We start from the raw sequence: 19,953 nt of genomic DNA, 5'->3' as shown, positions 1-19,953 counted from the left end.
TTTGAATCTCAGATCAAATTCAACTCCCTAGAAGATCTTCCCTGACTGCCTAATCTAAAGGCTCACCAGAAAGGAAATCTCTCTCAAACACATCACTTGTATGTGAAATTATCTCACTCTCTGGTGTATCCCTTTATTGTATGTCTCCTTCCTCACCTCATCCCCAAGAACATAAATTCCATGAGAAAAGGGCACTTGTCTTTCCTAATCCCTCTTGTATCCCTGGTGCCTAGCAGTGCCTTGAGAATTTCATTTCAAATTCTATTTTATTTTCACTTCCCCAGCCCTTTCTTTAAGGCCAAGATATAATGGGGACCCTGCCTAATTCTCTCTTAGCAGCTGTCGCCTTCGTGCCAGGATTCTAAAATTACATTACAGAGCTATGGCGACTCATTTCTCATTTCCCATTTATTAAAAAAGGAACAGAACAAAAAAAAACCCCACATTTGATAGATGTGCTATTAAAAACTTTGGCATTATAAACTGCAAAGCTTTGGGCACTAGGCTAGGTTTTCTGTGGTTGCAAGTCAGTCACATCTAAGGTTATTACCACAGCCAGGGTGAAAAATTTTGCCAATGACTACATTAGCAACTCCCCCAAACTTCTGTCACCAGGTGCAAGATGGATGTTGACCCTTGGAATGGGTTCAGCAAAAACAGAAATGAGATGCTTGGAGCAGCTCACCGAGTGCAAATACTGGGCTCAAAGGGATTCATACAATGGGCAAAGGGACATTTGCAACCTCACTGGGAGAAAAATCTAACCCTTCTATGTCACTGCAATGTGTCGTCTGCAACTGGGATCAAGAAGAGAGTTTCCAATGCTGAAAATTCAACTCCAAACCAGCATTTCTCCAAATCACTTTTTGCATTTTTGTGAGTTACATTTCTAGGTCTTCATTTTCCACCAGAATGGGAATTCCTGGGGAGTGGGTACTATTTAAAAAGACTTCCATGTGCCACATTTTGAAATATCTAAGCACCCCCTAAAGTACTAATATTTTATTTTTGAAAAAGTTGTAGAGCACTCCTTGGGTCAGTGGGCATGCTTACATGTTGAATATGAACATGAAACATGTTCTGTGAAACAGTATTGTATCATTTCATGATACCACAGGTGAAGTGTTTTGGGGCATGCAAATGAAAGTCACAGATACATATGGCCTCTGTGCCCAAGTTTCTACTTGTGGCTTGGGAGGAACAACTTTCCCTCTTGGCCTGAGGGAGTGAAGAAGAGAGTTGCTTCTGCTTCTCTTCAAAAGCACCCCCATGCTTCTCCTTGACAATGTATCATGTTTTCTAGCTTGCCCTGTGTCTGGCAGAGGGTGGAAACCTGGAGATTTGCCAGGAGCATGGCTTTGTCCCCTGAGGGACTCAACTGTGCATCCAGCTGTGATGTGGTTGAGTTTCCATAGGTGGTTGATAATTTTCTGTCCCTGCTGGCTCAGACTGGGGCTAATTTCAACAGTGCATAGTCATGGAAATGAAAGGACATGGGAAAACATTTGCCATTAAGGAATTAAGGATTAAGGAAGATGATTAAAGGACTTACAAGGAATTCTAGGCATTTAGGCCAGTCTGCTTCTTCTACCTCCCATGGGAGTAGAGCCTCCCCTTGCAGATGACCATGTCTGATACCATCTGAAATGCTCCTGCCTCTACTTACTATAAAAGTCTGGAGACAGGAGCAAAAAAGTAAAGGACATGAATTTTGGGGTCAGGCAAACTCAGGTTCAAATTCTGGCTCTGCTATTTAAGCAAGGAACTAATCCCTTTTAAGCCTCAATAATAACAGTTCCTGCCTTGTAGAATTGCTGTGTTTATTAAATGAGTTCATGCATGTCACGTTATTGGCACAAAGTACATGCCCAATTAAAGTCTGGCTCAGCAGAGCTGTGCTGCGGCTGACTTGAGCCAGCTCACACGAGCTAATTGTACCATCTCTCCCTAGCTCTCCTATTCATTGACCTCATGCTTTGGAAGCTTGAAAAAGACCATGGTATTTGTGTTTATACCATAGAAATCTGCAAACTCTTCACACTGGGGCTCTTCTTACCCAGAGAGTTAATTTACAAGCACCCCAGTGGGTTTAGGTATTCAAGTTGTTATTTACTATCATTCACTAGCATGTCTTGGCCAGTTGATTCACTCAAGTAGCCCTTCATTAGTGTCGGTTGCATTTGTAAAAATCCCTCCAGCTTTTCTATTTGAATGAGAAGAATTGATGCAGGGCGGGGGAAAGGCAGCAGTTAAAGGCCTTGGGAGGCTGGTTTAGACTCATCTTCGAGACTGACATGCTTAAGTGTGAGATCTGAATGAAGCCAGCATGCACACCAATGTCTGGTGAGGCCAGCTGGAACCATTCAGCACAAAAATCCTCCATGATTTCAGCACTCAGGTATAGGAAATTGGGAGTAGCTCCCAAGCCCATTCTGCCCAAGTGGCTTAGCATCCTTGGGCCATTGAATATGACTTGAACAGCTGCATGCAGCTGCTGGTGACAAAACTCCCAGGAAACCTGGTGGAACTAAAATCAGAAATGGTGATCCAATTAATGCCGCTGAACCTCAAATGCTGACTCCAAACTTGGGGACTCTGCATTAGCATTAATAATGATTTCCTTAAAATCATTCAGTGGTTTGGATAGCTATCTAAATCTCATTGAGAAGCCAACTCTCTTTGCTTAGAAATGTGTACTTACAGCACTTAGGCAAATGATCCATGGCGAGATAAGGCCCTTATACCGGGTGCTTGAAAGGGCAGTACCCCTCATAGCTAAAAGATACTCCAAGGACATTTCATGTGAGCAGGATAAATGAGAATGGCAAGCATTAAGATTAACTTCATGAAAGTTAATTCAAGACAGAGTGACAATTTCAAGTCTTTTTTAAACATATGGTTCTTTTTAACAATAAGACATTCTACATGGGTATAGGAATGGAAATTTTAATTTAAATTTTACCTTGAGCTCTATGTTTTATAAAAGGCAAGCAAAGTCCTTGTCTTAGGTCTTATTCTCTCAGAAGTAAACATAGAAGGGTTTGAGTTTTAAGCAGTTAATTTGAGAGATGATTTTAGTAAGTATCACAAGAGGAGTAGGGAAGAAAGACAGGAAAAGGAAAGCAGCCAATACTGGGTGTGTTCATGAGCACATTCCACTGTGGGCAACCAAGACTCAGTTCTATCGGGGACCTCCAAACAGTGTTGTCCAATACTGTAGCCACTAGCCACGTATGGCCAACAAGTAGTTGAAATGTGGCTAGTTTGAACTGGAACGTGTATGTAAAACACACACCAATTTCAAAGTCTTAGTATGAAAAAAGAAGAATGTAAAATATCCGACTATTTTTATATTGATTATACATTGAAATGATAATGTTTTGGATTATTGTGTTATACAAAATATTGTTAAAGTTAGTCTTACGTTCTTCCTTTCACTTTGTTCAATGTGGCTACTAGAAAATCTAAAATTATACATTAGGCTCACATTTGAGGCTCACATTATGTTTCTACTAGACAGCATTAGAATAGAACATGAGTCAGATGTGGGTATTAACCAACCAATTCCTGTCTGTTATTGGTTGAGGTCTGCTCCAGAGAAATTAATTCTCTGGTGCTTTGAGTTTGCTGCCAGGACAAGTAAAGCGCTCAGCAGAGAGTCATAAGGACTTTCTTTGGAAAGCTGTTGGTGCTATAAAATAACAGCAAGCACCAAGGAGACATAAGTAGGGCACCAACAGCCACTGCTACAGTTCCTCTTCTACCTCCTTTATTCCTGCTCCTGACTTTTAGATTCTGCTTCTGCTTCTCATGCCCTCTGAATCCATTGCATTTGGAAGTCCAAGGAAACCTTAGGAATCAGACATGTTTGGACTGGAGAAGAGTAGATAGAAGCTATAATCCTTGTTCCAATGAACTTTTATGAAGAAAATAAACTGGTGTTATTTCCCCTTGAAGATAGTGGGCAGTCCGGGGAGGGAGAGAGATATAACTTAACATAGAGAAGGACCACACCGATCAAACCTTATGTATTGAGATCAAATGCATCAGAATTTAAAGAGCTCCCTGCTGATGGAGCTGCCCAGACTGAGCCTGTCAGTGATTTGTAGGGAATTCTGGCATCAAATGAGAAGCAACACAAAATCAGGGCCTCTGAGATACCTCTTTCATGGTCAGAACACTGTGACTGCCAAAATGAGGAAGAAGGAGCTTTTAATCATAGACTTAAGCTCTATATCCTTCTAATATCTGTTAGAATGAGAAAGAAAAAAGCAATAATTTACTGAATCTTTACTATGGTCCAAGCACTGTATGAAACTTTAGGTATGTTATCTGATTTAATCCTCCAAAGAAAACTATATGGTAAGAATTATTGCCCCCAGAATTGTAAACTCAGCTTATAGAAAATGACATTTGCCTAAGGTCAATAATTGATAGAGCTACAAGTGAATTCAGGTCTACTGATTTATGCCTTTATTATCAAAGACACACTGAATGGCTACCTTAGGCCATAACCTGTGCATTTAACTACTAGATTTTCCTCATAACAAGTGGGCTTTGTTGAGGAGTTGGCATGCATCTCAATTCTGATAATGAGAGCAAAATATAGTATGTGGAAAGTGTATTTTCCAAAGATGGCCACAGCAATATTTTAGGTCTTACACGCTCTATAGAACCACTCCCCAAAACAGATTGAGTTCATTTTCATTTCCTCTTGAATTTTGGCAGGCTTGTGACTATTCCAAAGAATGAATTACATGGAGTGATGCAATGGAATGTCTAAGCCTGAGAATACAGTGTCTCCCTTTTTCCAGGAGAAGCTCATTTTGGAAGCTGGCCGCCATGCTTTGAGGAAGCCCAGGCCACATAAAGGTGGCCATGAACAAGTGTTTTAGGAAGTTGTCCCAGCTAAGATTTTAGCTGACAGTTGAGATCAATCACTAGACAGACAAGTGAGTGAATCTTCAGATGGTCCCAGCTTCCAGCTGTTGAATCTTCCTGCTGAGCTCCAAACCTTGTGAACAGGATGATTAAGTTATCTCTGCTATGCTCATGAGCGTAAGAAGTGGTTGTTTTCAGCTTACTCTAAGTTTTGGGGGTGATTCGTTATATAACTGTATTAACCACAACATCATGTTCCATTTTTACCTTCGCTGTCAGGAAACTCAAGGTCAAATTTATTCCTTAAATACAGCAACTGCAATAGCCTTAAGTGTTAGAACAACTACTTTTTAATTTTATAACACTGAGCATATATTTCTATTTTATTAATCTTATTTTGTCTTTCGTTGAAAAAATATGAAGTGTACATAAACAACAAAATGACCCCTACCTACCCCCTAATAATAAAAGTATGAATTTAATACCTGAATCTTCTTTCATTTCAACATCCTCTTCTTCTTCATTATTATCGTCTGTTAAAAAATAGGAAAACATAAAGAAATACTTATATGAAAGTGGGAAACACAAGAATGTTCCAGATGGATTATTAAAAAAAATCAAAGAAAGGGATAACAGATCAGTAGAAAACAGACTGTTAAAACATGCATTTCTGTTGTCTTATTATTATCATGCTAAGTTAAGAAGAAAGTATACACATTAATGCACAATTTAAAGCCTAGAGTTTACATTTCCTTTTAAAAATTGTTATATTTATAACTGTATATGCAATCGTTTGTTTTACTTATAGAAATTATATATGGTCACTTCAGTCATTTCAATTGCTCAAAATTAAAAATCACAGACTTTAAATGCCACATGTTCTAACTTTGTTAAAGGTCTGCATGCTCACTTCAAGTATCTGAGAAGTATGGACATCATTATTTGGTCATAGACCGACACATGTCAAATCCCCGCACCACACCATGGAAAGTGCTGCTTTGCTGCATTTGGAAATCCCAGCCTTCACTCATGTGCTTTCAAGTGTCCCACCAATTGCACCACTCCCATTTAGCTCCCATCATCTCCCAGTATAATCCCTTTTAACTGGACAAGGACATGTGATTCCTCTGCACTATAGATGACACGCTTGCTCTTTTGAACTTCTGACACATTGTCGTCTCTCTCCTTATGCTCCCCACAACCAGTGCTATGTTCTGAATATCTGTATCCCCCCAAAATTCATATGCTTAATCTTAACCTCCAAGGTGATGGTGATTAGAAGGTGAGGCCTTTGGAAGTTGATTAGATCATAAGAAAGGAGCCCTGTGGATGGGATTAGTGTCTTTATAAAAGAGACCTAAGAGAGACCTCTCACCCCTTCCTCCATGCATGGACACAGGAAGAAGATGGCTCTCTACAGGAAGAGGGACCTCACCAGACACCGAATCTGCCAGCACCTTGATCTTGGACTTCCAGCCTCCAGAACTGTCAGAAATAAATTTCTTTTGTTTGTAAGCCACTGAGTCTATGATATTTTGTTACAGCAGCCCAAATGGACTAAAATATCAGCTAGCGCCAAATCTTCTCCTGTTTCTATGTTTGGTCCTCTCTCCTCACATTATTGCAGTACAAATTCAGACTCCCAGTGCCATTTGCCTTAGCTATTTTAGCAGTTTCCTAACTGCTCCTCTCTTTTTCTCTCTCCTGTATCTCACTCCTTTTACACGTGACTGCCAAATCAGTCTTAAAATACAGCTCTGATCTGGTTCACAACAGTTCAGTGACTGCCCTCTGCCTAATGAGAAAAGTCTAGACTCTTCCCGATAACACTCAAGGCCAATGATACCTGGTTCCAAACACTTTTCTCAGTTTCACCTCCTCTGTTACATGCATGCTACCACCCACATGGATGGCAACACTTAACTCTTCTCTGATCTCTCAAGGTCTCCCTCAGCCTCGTCTACCTGCCTTGGTCCTGCTAGCAATGCCCTTCTCCCTCTCTATTCACCTTCATCCTTCAAGTGCAAGCTTAGGTGCCATAGCTTCTGATTTCCCCAGGTTTGAATGAATCATGTGCTCTTTGATGTACCTTATTTTTGCTGCCTGCTTGGTATGGACTTTAAATACACATGGGCTTAGGTTTGCATCCTGGCTCCTCCATCCATCCATCCCCTGGGCATGTGATCTTGGAGAAGTTACCTTGATCTTCCTGAGCTTCAGGTTCATCAGCTGTATAGTGGGATAATAATAATGCCTACTACATAGAGCTTTCCTAAGGTTTAAATGAGATAATGCCACGTAAAGCACTAGGACAGCTACTGAAACATTGTTAAGTGCTAAATATTAGCTGTTATTATAATAAAATCACACAGTCTACTTGTTATTTTATCTCTCTTTCAAACATCGGTCTCCAGATCATAAATTCTGTAAAGATGGAGACCAGGTCTTCTGTTCCTGTATATTCCTTGGCACTTAATGCCATTCATTTTATATACTAGAATCAATAAATGTCCACTGAATTAAATTTATATTATTTTCTATGTGTTTTATACATATTAGCTATATGATACTTTGTAAATAATGGGAAGTCAGTGAAGATTTACAACTTTCTCCTATATATGTGCTTTGTAATTTAGTCATCCCAGCCAAATTTACTCAGTCTGCCCCTCTTCTAAGAATTGATTATTAATTATTAATGATGATTAGAGATTTATTAGTCAGAGGAAAGAGAAAATGCCTTTCATTTGAGGTTTTAGAAAGGCAATTCTTGATAACTATGGTTAACTTTTAAAGAAGTAATTTTTTTACCATGGAAATATTTTAGAAACACTGATGATTTTCTACATAATTTTTAAAATTCATTCTATGAATGCAGTTTTGGAAGGAAGAATACCAATTTCTTAGAAATATAATTTTCTAACCAAATGATTACCAAAATGTTACAAAGTAAACTTCATAGATTCTTCCCTGAACTTAACATCTTTAAATATAATTTTATTTTACAGAGCCATCTAAAATCTGTATGACAACAGACTCTCTGGAATCTCAGAGAGAGAGATAAAAAAGAGTCTCTACAGTTTCTGGGGAAAAATAAAGGAAGAGTCAAAGATCCCTTTGCTTGTCACTTATATTTCCGTTATTCACCTGGCAAACACTCATTGGTTAGCCTATTGTGTACAAGGCTTTATGTTTGGGGCTGTAGAAAACACCAAGATGGATAGAAACTTAAGCAGTTTTTTTTGTTTTGTTTGTTTGTTTTTTTTTTTAAGAATCTTGTCAGTAGTAAAGAAACCAAGACATGCAAATACATTCCAACATATGGTAGTCAATGCTATTAAAAAGTGTCAGAGGAAGGATTGATACTTCTAGTTAAGCTACTTGGAAGTCTTCTTGTATGTAGAACATAACACTGAAGCTGATATTTGAACTACATAGACTGTCCTGATAACGTCATCCCCAGAATGACTCCCATGTGTGGAAGGATCAGGCTTGGGGTTATTATTCATTCATTCACTTCATTCACGCACTGATTTAGTCATACAGTGGTTAAGAGTCTGTCCAGAGTCTGGACTCAGACTGGTTCGGTTTACTTCCAGGACAAACCACATATAACTATGCAAATCTTGGGTAAGAAGAATACCAGAATATTTCACCCTGAAATATGAGGGACCTTCCCCTCACTACCGTCTCTCAATCCCTTGTCTCTCCCAAAGCACAGGGTGAAGATTTTCTCTGCAGTTCCCTTATCTATCTAGAAACAGTAGCCCCAAAAAAGGAACACAATTGTCTTCCATCCTCTGCCTGAAATCTCATTATCTATTGCAGAAAAGAAAGCTGAGAATGTAACCACACCTGGACAGATGTTTTTCACAAGATAATGCCTGCCTCTTGGGCTCATTCAAATTCCAAAGAGAATAATTTACAAGTTAATTTCTGTCTCCTGGGTCCATTCATTCTCCCTAATAATTATTTATTGCTCCTCAAAAAATTGTCTACTTTCCCCATCTGTCCACTCCCCTATGAAGAAGAAGAGATAAGCTTCTGTGCCCAATTTAGCTAGTGGATAATCATTCTCATGCGATTCTCCCATGCTTATGCATGTTAAAATAATTTTGTATGATTTTTCTGCTATTAACCTGCCTTTTGTCAGCTTACTTTTAGTGAACTTTCAGAGGGCAAAGGGGAAGTTATCTTTTGGCCTCCAAGTAACATATAACCTATATGTCAGTTTCTTCATCTGAAAAATAGGGATAATAAAATTATCAACTTCTTAGGGTTAGGATTATATGTCAAGTGCTTACACAGAATGAGCATTCAATAAATACTGATTATTGCTATTACTGAGACTACCTTTGCAAAAATTGTGACAATGAGAGAAATCTGACATAGAAAAAGTATAACAATGAAAGAAATTTGACACAGCAGACTCCATCTTGCTTCTAACCTCACAAGATGTTCTTGTTCATTTCTGGGTATAGCCCAAGCCAACTTTGGAAGGAATTTAGTTTATAGTTTAACCTAAAAGCAAGAATGATAATAGCCCTTCTCAAAACTATCCCTTCCTTGTTTGAGGACTGAAGCTGCCTTTGTAAAACTAACGAAAGGCCCCAAGGTCATGATTATGAGAGAAGCCTGGATTCTACTAAGACGTAGGCACATTTAAACAATAACCAGCCATTGTTCTAGAGGTCCCAAGACATGTAACCTCTACAATTGCTCTAATAGATAACTTCACTATTCTAGAACCTAAGGTTGGACTTCTGAGATGTTTTTCAGACTTTTGCATTCTGGCAACTGACTGACTCCACTGGGACCTTTGCCTCATTACTCAACTGGTCCTGTGGCCCGTATCCAGAGGCTGACTTAGTGCATGAGGACAGTTTTCCACACTCCTGTGATTTCATCCCCAACCAATCAGCAGCACCCTATCCCTAGACCCCTGCCTGTTGTCCATAAAACTCGTAGCCTCCAAGCTTTTTGGGAGACTGATTTGAGTAATAAACTTCTGTCCTCTGCTTGGCTAGCCCTGCATTAAACTCTTTCTCTACTGCAATACTGCTGTCTCACTGAATTAGTTTTATCTGTGCAGTGGGCAAGAATAACCCATTGAGTGATTACATTATAATGTCATTTTTATAACTATTTTTGCTAGTCAAATAACCATTTCTTGAGCTCTACCTTGTGTACCCATTACGAAGATACAGGTTAGCAATCTTTTCCCTCAAGGAGGTCACAAAGTGGACGATATAGAAAAGCAAAACAACAGAGAAGAAGGTAACAGATTATCTGATGGAGGTAAACAGAAGTTGTATTGGGAAATATACAAGAGCCAGCTCAGTCAGAGAGAAGGTCTATGAAGGCATTCCAGAAGAGGCAAGACTTCAGCTGAGTCTTAAAGAGTGAGTTAAAGTTATGTAGGGAAAAAGAAAGGCTACAGTAGATGCCTAGATGTGGATGTCCTGCCTATAACTCCTTGTTCCTTGACAATTCAGTGCATGCCAGCCTGCCTTTGAGCCACCAGCTCCTGGGTCTCTTTGCCTGAGGGCTCTCTCTGCTTGCTGAATCCCATTCAAGTAATACTAGAGAATTAACACCCTTTAGGGTTGAGCCTTTCTCAAATGATGGACAATTTGCATATAAGTACCCCAGATCCCTTGCTTCCCAAGTGGCCTAATTCAAAGCATGTTCTGTACTATCTCCCTGAGTCTCCTCACTCCTACTGGGATTGAGCCCCAGTTGTCCAGTGGTAACTGGCTTAGAGCTTAACCTCACTGCCTACTGCTCTTGCTTGTCTCACTTCCCCACTTCCCTACTGGTGTTTCCTGGGATCATCTCCCTGCCACACCCCCGCCGCCCCAACATACTTCTACTTCAGTCCTTGTTTCAGGATCTGCTTATTGGGGAACTCAAACAAAGACAAGGGTAATCACACTCAAGCAGAGGGAAAAACATCTGTAAAAACATGTGGACGTGAATCATCAAGATGTTTTTAAGGAAATAAAACTAGCTATGAATGGCCAAAGGAAGAGTTATCTGAGAAATTGCAACTAACCCGATCTGTTCTGGCTAGATAATACAGACCTTCCATGCCAGGAGTGATGGTTAATTTTATGTGTCAAGGTGACTGGTCCAGAGTGCTCAAACATTTGGTCAAACATTATTCTGGGTGTGTCTGTGAGTGTTTCTGAATGAGATTAAAATTTGAATGGGTACGGAGCAGACTGCCCTCCCTGATGTGAGTGAGCCTCATCCAATCAGTTGAAGGTCTAACAAGAACACAAAGGCTGACCCCTGGAGAGTAAGAGGGAACTCCTCCGGCCTCATTGCCTTTCTACTAGTTGGCCATTGGGGTTTTTTTCCTGCCTTCAGATTCAAACTGAAACATTAATTCTTCTTGGGTCTGAAGCCTGCCAGCATTCAGACTACAACTACACGGTTGGTTCCATTGGTTCTCAGGCCTTTGAACTCAGACTGAAACTATGCCATGAGCTCTCCTGGGTCTCACACTTGCCAACTGCAGATCTTGGGACTTAACAGCCTTCATAATCATATGGGCCATTTGCTATGATAAACCTCTTTCCATGTATTTTAATATATGTTCATTTTCTCTGCAAAAACCTGACTAATATACAAGGTTGAAGCATTCAAACTTTTTTTGAAAAATTGTAGAGTGATTAAACAACTTTGAGCAGAGGAGTGACATACCATCTTTTGAAAGATAACTTTTTATGAGACAAATTTACTGAAAATTATAAAGCACATGCCTTAATATTTTGCAATTATTTGTATTAAAATCAAGCACAGAGTCCTTTTGCTCTACAAAGCACCTAATGTGCCATTACATATTAATGAAATCTACTTTAGTTCAACATTATTCTATGTAATGTGCTTGCTTGAGTCATATTTGTGCAACAAATTGCTAGCAAGAATTTTTCTAACAAAACTAGGAACAAAAAAATATTAAAAAAAGGTGATAGTCTATGGAAGTAGGGAGTCATGCCACTCAAAGTTTGAAAGTAGTTAGGAGACTGATGAAGCATGGGCACAGAGTTGCAGCCCTTTTAAACAGTTCTCCAAGCATCATACTTCTTTGTTAGAGGACAAAAATGAAATAAAAGGTTTCTACCAAAGTGATAGAAATACTATTTCTAAATAGAGAGCAATCAATCAGACGGCATTGTTCTGTGTGTTCAGAAATGCCAATTCCAGAAAAATCCCCTTTCCTTCCCAGGCACAGACCATACAGAGGCTAAAGCTCCATTTAATCTTACGGGACCTCTTTGATGTTAATTTCATAATAGACGCTGTTTTTGTTCACTGTATCTCCTGTGTTAGATTACCCTGTTGCATTCTACACAAACACATGAATATGACCGAAGTTCTTATTTTGATCACAAAATATATGTGAAAACCAACTAGTTTCTCATGAATAACAAGTTTTGGGTAAAAGCTAGCTTTATATACTTCAGAATCCCCTTCATAAGGAAATGTCTAACCTACTTTGAGCTCTATAACATTGATTTCACCTTCTTTTATTGGAGACAGAGTTAATGTGAATGATTTTTGTTTTAATTATTATACTTGTCTTCTGAGCAGGTACCTGTCATTTCCCAACAGCAAATAGTCCACACTTCTTTGGAAAAGGAAGTATGCTATGGGTTTTGGAATGACTTCAGATTTGTCTTACTCCATTACCTAGAGCCACCATAATTAATACAGTCTTTTGGGGAAGTGAAATAAACAAAAACAAGCAAAGAAAACCCCGTAGAACTTTATTTAAGGTAATTATCAAAGTGTACTCTCTGGACCAGCAGCACCACTATCATCTGAACGCTTGTTAGAAATGCAAATTCTCAGGTCCCACTCAAGATCTATTGCATCCAAAGCTCTGGGGAAAGGACCCTCCAGGTGACACTCATGCACACTGAAGTTTGAGAGCCACTGGTCCAAAGCACCAATATTGGCCTGTTGAAGAAGAACCTTTCAAAAGAGTAGATGTCCAATATTTCAACTGAACTAACTTGTGATGTCTCACTAACACTAATGTGGTAAGAGGTGCCCAAGCCACATGGTTGCTGGGTTTGAGGAACAGTTATGCTTTTCATAAGATACTGTATGCTTTCTTATGTGCTTGAAGTCACTCAGCTACCATGCAGCTGAGTGGCAAGATTATCATGGTCCATGGCCAGGATTCCTAGATTGGCTAGGAGACATGAGCATGAATGGAGACTAGCCTCAAGGAGGTCTGTGGGTGGCATGAGAAAAGGAGGGTGTTATGAAGGGGAATGTTACCCTTATGAGCTATTACGGCATCCTCTCCACTCCCAAGGGAAAAAAATGGACAGACACCTGAAATAGATCATAAAATTCCCTTGTCAAATTTTCAGGAACATCCGTACATATGGGCAGGTCTGTCAAGGAGAACAATTACGATAATCCTGCTGTGGTTTTATTTCACATGCTTCCAAGTTCTCTTCCTTAGAGCTTAATTTCTTACCACAGGCTTCTTGTGCACTCCTCATCTTTTTAATATTTCATTACCAAAAGCTTCTAGGAACAATTTGGATTTGCAGAAAAAAGAAATATTATTAGCAAAAATAAAGCTTTGTTTAGGGCTTCTACGTAGTAGGGAAGAGGTCGTTATCCTCATGACTTCTTGTAGGACTTGACAAAGCAGAAACTTCAGGCAAAGAATGTCCGATAAGGGAGAGTCCTCCCTGAGTAGGACTCCTGCCATTAAGTTGAATACCTGGACTCACTGCATCTAACAAATTGCTAAATCTACTTTTTGAAGGTGATTGATAAAGCCAGGAGAAATTTTGTTGTTCTTTTAAAAAAAAGGGAACTTTTTTTTTTCCTTCAACTGATCCTTGGCCAAAATGAGCACTCAAATCTAATTACTTTATAAATCAAGCAATAAATAAAAGGCACCGCCTGATGCTGCTGCTTCTGGCTTGCCCAACTGGGCACATTATAGCATCAGTTACAGAGATATGGGATTTAGGAAGAGGAGGATTGAGGAGTGGAGAAACAGATTTTGAATTTAATTTTGGATATGTTCAGTTGAAGACGCCTGAGAGACTCCCAGCTGGAGATGGACGTGTGCAAGCAAGTACACCAGAGAGGGCTGGGATGGACACAGATGACGGTCAGAAAGAAAAGATGGCAGAGCAGTCGCCAGGATAAAGAGTGCCCAGTCCAAAGTGAGAAGAGCTCTAAAGGGTCATGTGATCAAATACGCAATGGTTTCAGTTCCCATGCTCAAGCCATCAAAAATGTTCTAATAACCTCAACAAGGATGGTTGCAGTAGGAAGGCAGAGACAGTCACGTTATTGCAGTGGATTATGGAGTGACCAGCAAGTGAGGGAGACAGACAACACTTCAAAGACATGTGGCTGACCAACAGACACATGAAAAAATGATCATCATCAATGGCCATCAGAGAAATGCAAATCAAAACCACAATGAGATATCATCTCACCCCAGTTAGTATGGTGATCATTAAAAAGTCAGGAAACAACAGGTGCTGGAGACGACGTGGAGAAATAGGAACGCTTTTACACTGTTGGTGGGACTGTAAACTAGTTCAACCATTGTGGAAGACAGTGTGGCGACTCCTCAGGGATCTAGAACTAGAAAGACCATTTGATCCAGCCATCCCATTACTGGGTATATACCCAAAGGAATATAAATCATGCTGCTATAAAGACACACGCACACATATGTTTATTGCGGCACTACTCACAATAGCAAAGACTTGGAACCAACCCAAATGTCCAACAATGATAGACTGGATTAAGAAAATGTGGTACATATACACCATGGAATACTATGCAGCCATAAAAAAGGATGAGTTTATGTCCTTTGTAGGGACATGGATGAAGCTGGAAACCATCATTCTCAGCAAACTATCGCAAGGACAAAAAAACAAACACTGCATATTCTCACTCATAGGTGGGAATTGAACAATGAGAACACTTGGACACAGGAAGGGAACATCACACACTGGGGCCTGCTATTGGGTGGGAGGCAGGGGGAAGGATAGCATTAGGAGATATACTTAATGTAAATGACGAGTTAATGGGTGCAGCACACCGACATGGCACATGTATACATATGTAACAAACCTGCACTTTGTGCACATGTACCCTAGAACTTACAGTGTAATAAAAAAAATACACACATATATATATATATATATATAAAAGACATGTAGCTGACAATAAAAGTCAGGTTCATACATAAAGTGGAATATAGTTTGCAGAAATTTTAGTTTCCCTATTGTTTATTTTTGTCTTTACTCTTACTTCTGTGCCTTCTTAAGAATTATTTTATTGATATATTATTCCTAAAAAGACTTTTTTTTCCCCTGCATTTGCCTCAATGTTTTCAACTAAAGAACCAAAACCAGTCTACCCAGAATGTTTGAAAGGCCTTTCAAAAGCACCCTGCAGCGGTCTCTATAAAGATGACTACAACATCCTCCCTCCCTTCTCCAACTAGCATTTAGTTGTGTCTGTTTTACCAGAACTTCCTAATGAGATCAAACTCTGCTTAGCCAAGGCTCATGTTCCCAGGTCTTCATGAGTTCTGCTGGTTATCAGCATTTGCTACACTCACTGCACACTCCCCTCCGTTGGAAGGGACAGATTGCTTTCTGTCTATGCCGGCTGCTTGTTCCTGCATTCAGGTTGCTTGGTTACAGCAACACTTCACTGGATTTTCATTGAAGGCAAAATGTGTTTGCAGCTTTTGAGGCCCATCAAGTGGAAATGGTTAGCACCTATTTCCTAAGAAGGCAGTTAACTCATTTATGTTACATTATAGAGAGCTTGTCTTGCAGAATTCTAAACATCAATGTGATCTGCACATTAAAAGTACATAAATGTGCCATGTACTTGTAAACATTCATAATTAAAGAAAATACTGAATTCTTTTACTCTAGTTTTTCTCTACATTGAATGTATCATTTGGGGGGAAAATGTACAATTCAGACTGAGTAAGAAGTTTCTCTTGTGTTTCTTTCACTTATTCATAGATGACTGGCGTATTAGTTTTCTATTACTGTTGTAACATATTTCTACTAACAACACAAACTTATTATCTTACAATTCTGTACATTGGAAGTCCCAAATGGGTTGAACTAGACTAAAATCAACATATCAGCTAGGCTGCTTTCCTTTCTGGAGGCTCCAGGAAAGAATCTGTTTCCTCGCTTTTCCAGCTTCTAGAGATGCCCATGTTCCTTAGCTCAAGGCCCTCTTCCTCCATCTTCAAAGCCAGCAATGGTGCAGTTCTCTGAACATTCTTCCACAGTCACAGCTCCTTCTGCCTTCCCTCTTCTGCTTTCCTCTTTCAATTTTAAGAACTCTCTTGATGACATTGACCCCACCTCTAGAATCAATCCCAAATAACATTCCTATCTTGTGGTCAGCTAACTGCAACCCTAACTCCACCACCAATCTTATTTCCCCCTTTGCAATGCCACCTAACATATTCACAGGGTCTGGGGTTTAGATTGTAGACATCTTTGTGGGGGACATTTTTCCGCCTACCACATTTGGTAAATCAGGAAGCAGATTGCTTTGTATACAAAGCGTCTGAAACATATTTAAAAATGCTCATCATTGCTGGTCATCAGAGAAATGCAAATTGAAACCACAATGAGATACCATCTCATGCCAGTTAGAATGGTGATCATTAAAAAGTCAGGAAACAACAGACGCTGGAGAGGATGTGGAGAAATAGGAACGCTTTTACACTGTTGGTGGGAGTGTAAATTAGTTCAACCATTGTGGAAGGCAGTGTGGCGATTCCTCAAGGATCTAGAACTAGAAATACCATTTGACCCAGCCACCCCACTACTGGGTATATACCCAAAGGATTATAAATCATGCTACTATGAAGACACATGCACACGTATGTTTATTGCAGCACTATTCACCATAGCAAAGACTTGGAACCAACCCAAATGTCCATCAATAATAGACTGGATAAAGAAAATATGGCACATATACACCATGGAATACTATGCAGCCAAAAAAAGGATGAGTTCATGTCCTTTGCAGGGACATGGATGAAGCTGAAAACCATCATTCTCAGCAAAACATCACAAGGACAGAAAACCAAATGCTGCATGTTCTCACTCATAAATGGGAGTTGAACAATGAGAATACATGGACACAGGGAGGGGAACATCACACACTGGGGCCTGTTGGGGGGTGGGGGGGCTGGGGGAGGGATAGCGTTAGGAGAAATACCTAAGGTAAATGACAAGTTGACGGGTACAGCAAACCAACATGGCACATGTATACCTATGTAACAAACCTGCACATTGTGCACTGTACCCTAGAACTTAAAGTATAATAACAAATAAAAAATAATAATAATAAAATGTCTGAAGAGGAGAACTAGAAACAATCTAATTAGAAATAAAATGGTTTTCTGTGAGGCGAAGTCCATAGGCTTAAAATCAAGGTCATTTTTGAGTTTTTGGTTTAACCTCACTCTTTCATTAAAAAGGGTTTCTTCTTTTCTTTCTATTTTTAAACCTTCGGACTTTTCGTCCTTTCATCTTCCCTTTTCTCCTTCCTTCCTTCCTTCCTTCTTTCTTTTTTATATATTTTAAAATCTTATCTTTCTACCTTTTCTCACTGTTTTGGTTATAAAAGAATATCACAAAGGCAAATGACAAACTGGGAAACCACTTGCAACATATATTTGAAAGATTAATAACCTTAATATACAAAGAGTTCTTATAAATCAATAAGAAAAAGATGAAATAAAAATGTACAAGGGTTATGATCAGCAATTTTGTGTAAGAAATTTAGATAAATAACTGGAAAAATGTTAAACCACATTAGTAATAAAATAAATGAATGTTGTTACCCATTAATTACCTTTTTTTCATGTATAAAAGTGCTAACATCAAAACAGTAGGATGTAACCCACTGAGAAAGGTAGGAAAAAAATAAACTCTCATGTACCACTCATGGGAATGTAAACTCAGGTTGCTTACTGCTAGGCTCGGGCATTTATATTTCTGTCCCTGTGGATGGTAATCCCTGTAAGTTGTATAGTACATGACATTCAACTGCAGTGCTGCAAACACAGTGCACAATTTGACAATTACTAGCAAAAGTGTCTTGGTTTTGCATATATTTTGAAAAAGTGATTCCACTTTTAGAAAAGTATTTTTTAAAATGAGGATGATGCCAATATTTAACTACAAAGATGATTTTTAAAAATTATTATTTATAAGCAAATAGAGAAATAATTTACAGAAATAATTCCTAAGTTCAATAGTATGGTTTTGAGTAAACTTTGGGTCTATTAAAATTAAGTTATGGAAGAATTCATAATGATGTGAAAAATGTTCATGATTTATGTTAAATGACATATAGCAAGTTATAAGACTAATTTCTGGCTGTTTGCATTTTCCATTTCTAAAGATCAGAAGGATAAGCAACAAAATGTAATTCATCTCCAGATTATAGGACAGAAAATAGTTTGTATTTTTTTCTTTTTGCTTATCTGTTTTTCACTATAAACCTATCTTACTTCTGTGATAAGAAGTTTTATATATTTTTCAAAGATGATTACAAAAGTTGAACTACTTACTTTTAAAATTGTAATAAGAAATAAACATGGATATTTAAACATTTATGATGCTTGGTGTACATATCTAGTGAACTTTCATTTATATTACTATTCCTTATATTTGGAATTGGTCCATTAGTATGTTTGCACATGACAAAACTGAAGCAGAAAAAGGTTAAACAACATGCGCAAAGCCACACAGTGTTAAGGTGGCTGTGACAAGATGAGACCATTTCTTATAATAACAAGCCTAGCATTTCTTCCCCTTTACCATAGATGCTTTTGTCTCTGTTGACCTCATTATTAGACAATTGCTACCTTTCTCAGGAATTCACCACCCCTTCTTCAAGCTTCTATCTTCCAATCATTATTCGGACATAGCAAGAGGAAAGAAAACCTTAGCAGCTCATGACACTGTGTGCTTCATTATTATTCTTGGAAAACTGATGACCAGAGAGGAGATAAGAAGAAGAAGGAAAGAGGACATGTGGATATACCATATGATTGGAGGAGCTCTAGCTTTTCAGGAGCTCTAGCCCTACTAATGCAAATGGATAATATGTGGCTTTTTTAGCAGACAAGTAGCTTCAAACAACTGTCCATGTTTTCAGGATTGCTAAGGGAAGAAGCATTACGGAGTGGAAAGGATTTGAGCTCAGACATACCCAACTATGTGACTTTGGTCAATTTACTGACTTTTCTTTAGCCTTTGTTCACTACTATCTCAATAAAAGCAGATGATGAATCCATGGCATGGGTGTTGTTGAAAGGCCAGTCTCTCAAGTCGTGAATTGAGTTAATCCTTCTTAAATATAGAATCTATCCTATTTCTCAACCAAGGACTTACTCTTAGGCTCAATTGCATAATACATTGACAAGAGTGTCAAAATTTCTCAGTCAGGGCTTCACAAACTGGATATAAGCATCATACTTTATTTTACAATTTTTCCAATCTGAACTGCCATTCTCCCTCTATGTTGCTTACCCAACACCAGACGTGAACTTCTCTACCCTTGTTCATTCTTTAAAGATCACTGAAAGTGCCACATTCTTCATGAAAACTGTCCCAATCAATCTGGTCCTCATACACATTTGCCTCTGAATTCCTGGGTGCTATGACTGTATCAATGTTATACTTGATTATTTGCTAATATTGTTTTCCAACTGTTTTATATGATATGTGCCCTTCAGGACTATTACAAGAACAGTACCTTCAATGTAGCAGCCTTGGGAACATAGTAGGCACATAACAAATATTTGACAACTGATAGAAAGATAATGAATGATAATGGATGAGATAAACTTATAAAATCAGTGTAAAGGGAGGATGCAGAAGACATAATGTGAGTACTTTCTTTTGTTTGCTTTTAAAGAGCTAAGATTTTTAAAAGTGAAATCCAGGAAAAAATTTAAATACTGCCTGGGTAAAATTTTAAAGTTTTGTGCCCATTTGTCAGAGAAGTAATTTTTAA

At 38.7% G+C, this 19,953-nt stretch overlaps 1 protein-coding gene across 8 annotated transcripts in view, besides 1 other annotated feature; it reads right to left on the bottom strand.

Annotated features, from left to right (window-relative positions):
- The window catches only part of MACROD2 (mono-ADP ribosylhydrolase 2), a 2,057,682-nt gene that overhangs the window by 162,020 nt on the left and 1,875,709 nt on the right, over positions 1–19,953 (bottom strand). For all 8 annotated transcript variants that reach the window (NM_001351661.2, NM_001351663.2, NM_080676.6 and 5 more), the window contains one exon: positions 5,367–5,414. In NM_001351661.2, the coding sequence (NP_001338590.1) occupies positions 5,367–5,414 (48 nt within the window). The remainder of the gene's footprint in view (positions 1–5,366; positions 5,415–19,953) is intronic.
- Positions 1,862–2,363: an enhancer, noted in NCBI's record as "NANOG hESC enhancer chr20:15869460-15869961 (GRCh37/hg19 assembly coordinates)". NCBI's record gives its function as "activates a minimal SCP1, AML or CMV promoter by ChIP-STARR-seq in primed H9 embryonic stem cells {active_cell/tissue: H9 hESC(primed)}" and the evidence as "EXISTENCE:reporter gene assay evidence [ECO:0000049][PMID:30033119]".

Source organism: Homo sapiens, chromosome 20 (assembly GCF_000001405.40).
Source record: "Homo sapiens chromosome 20, GRCh38.p14 Primary Assembly".
NCBI classification, from domain to species: domain Eukaryota; kingdom Metazoa; phylum Chordata; class Mammalia; order Primates; family Hominidae; genus Homo; species Homo sapiens.
The sequence above is the reverse complement of the archived record's forward strand: the minus strand, read 5'-3'. Positions and strand labels throughout refer to the sequence as shown.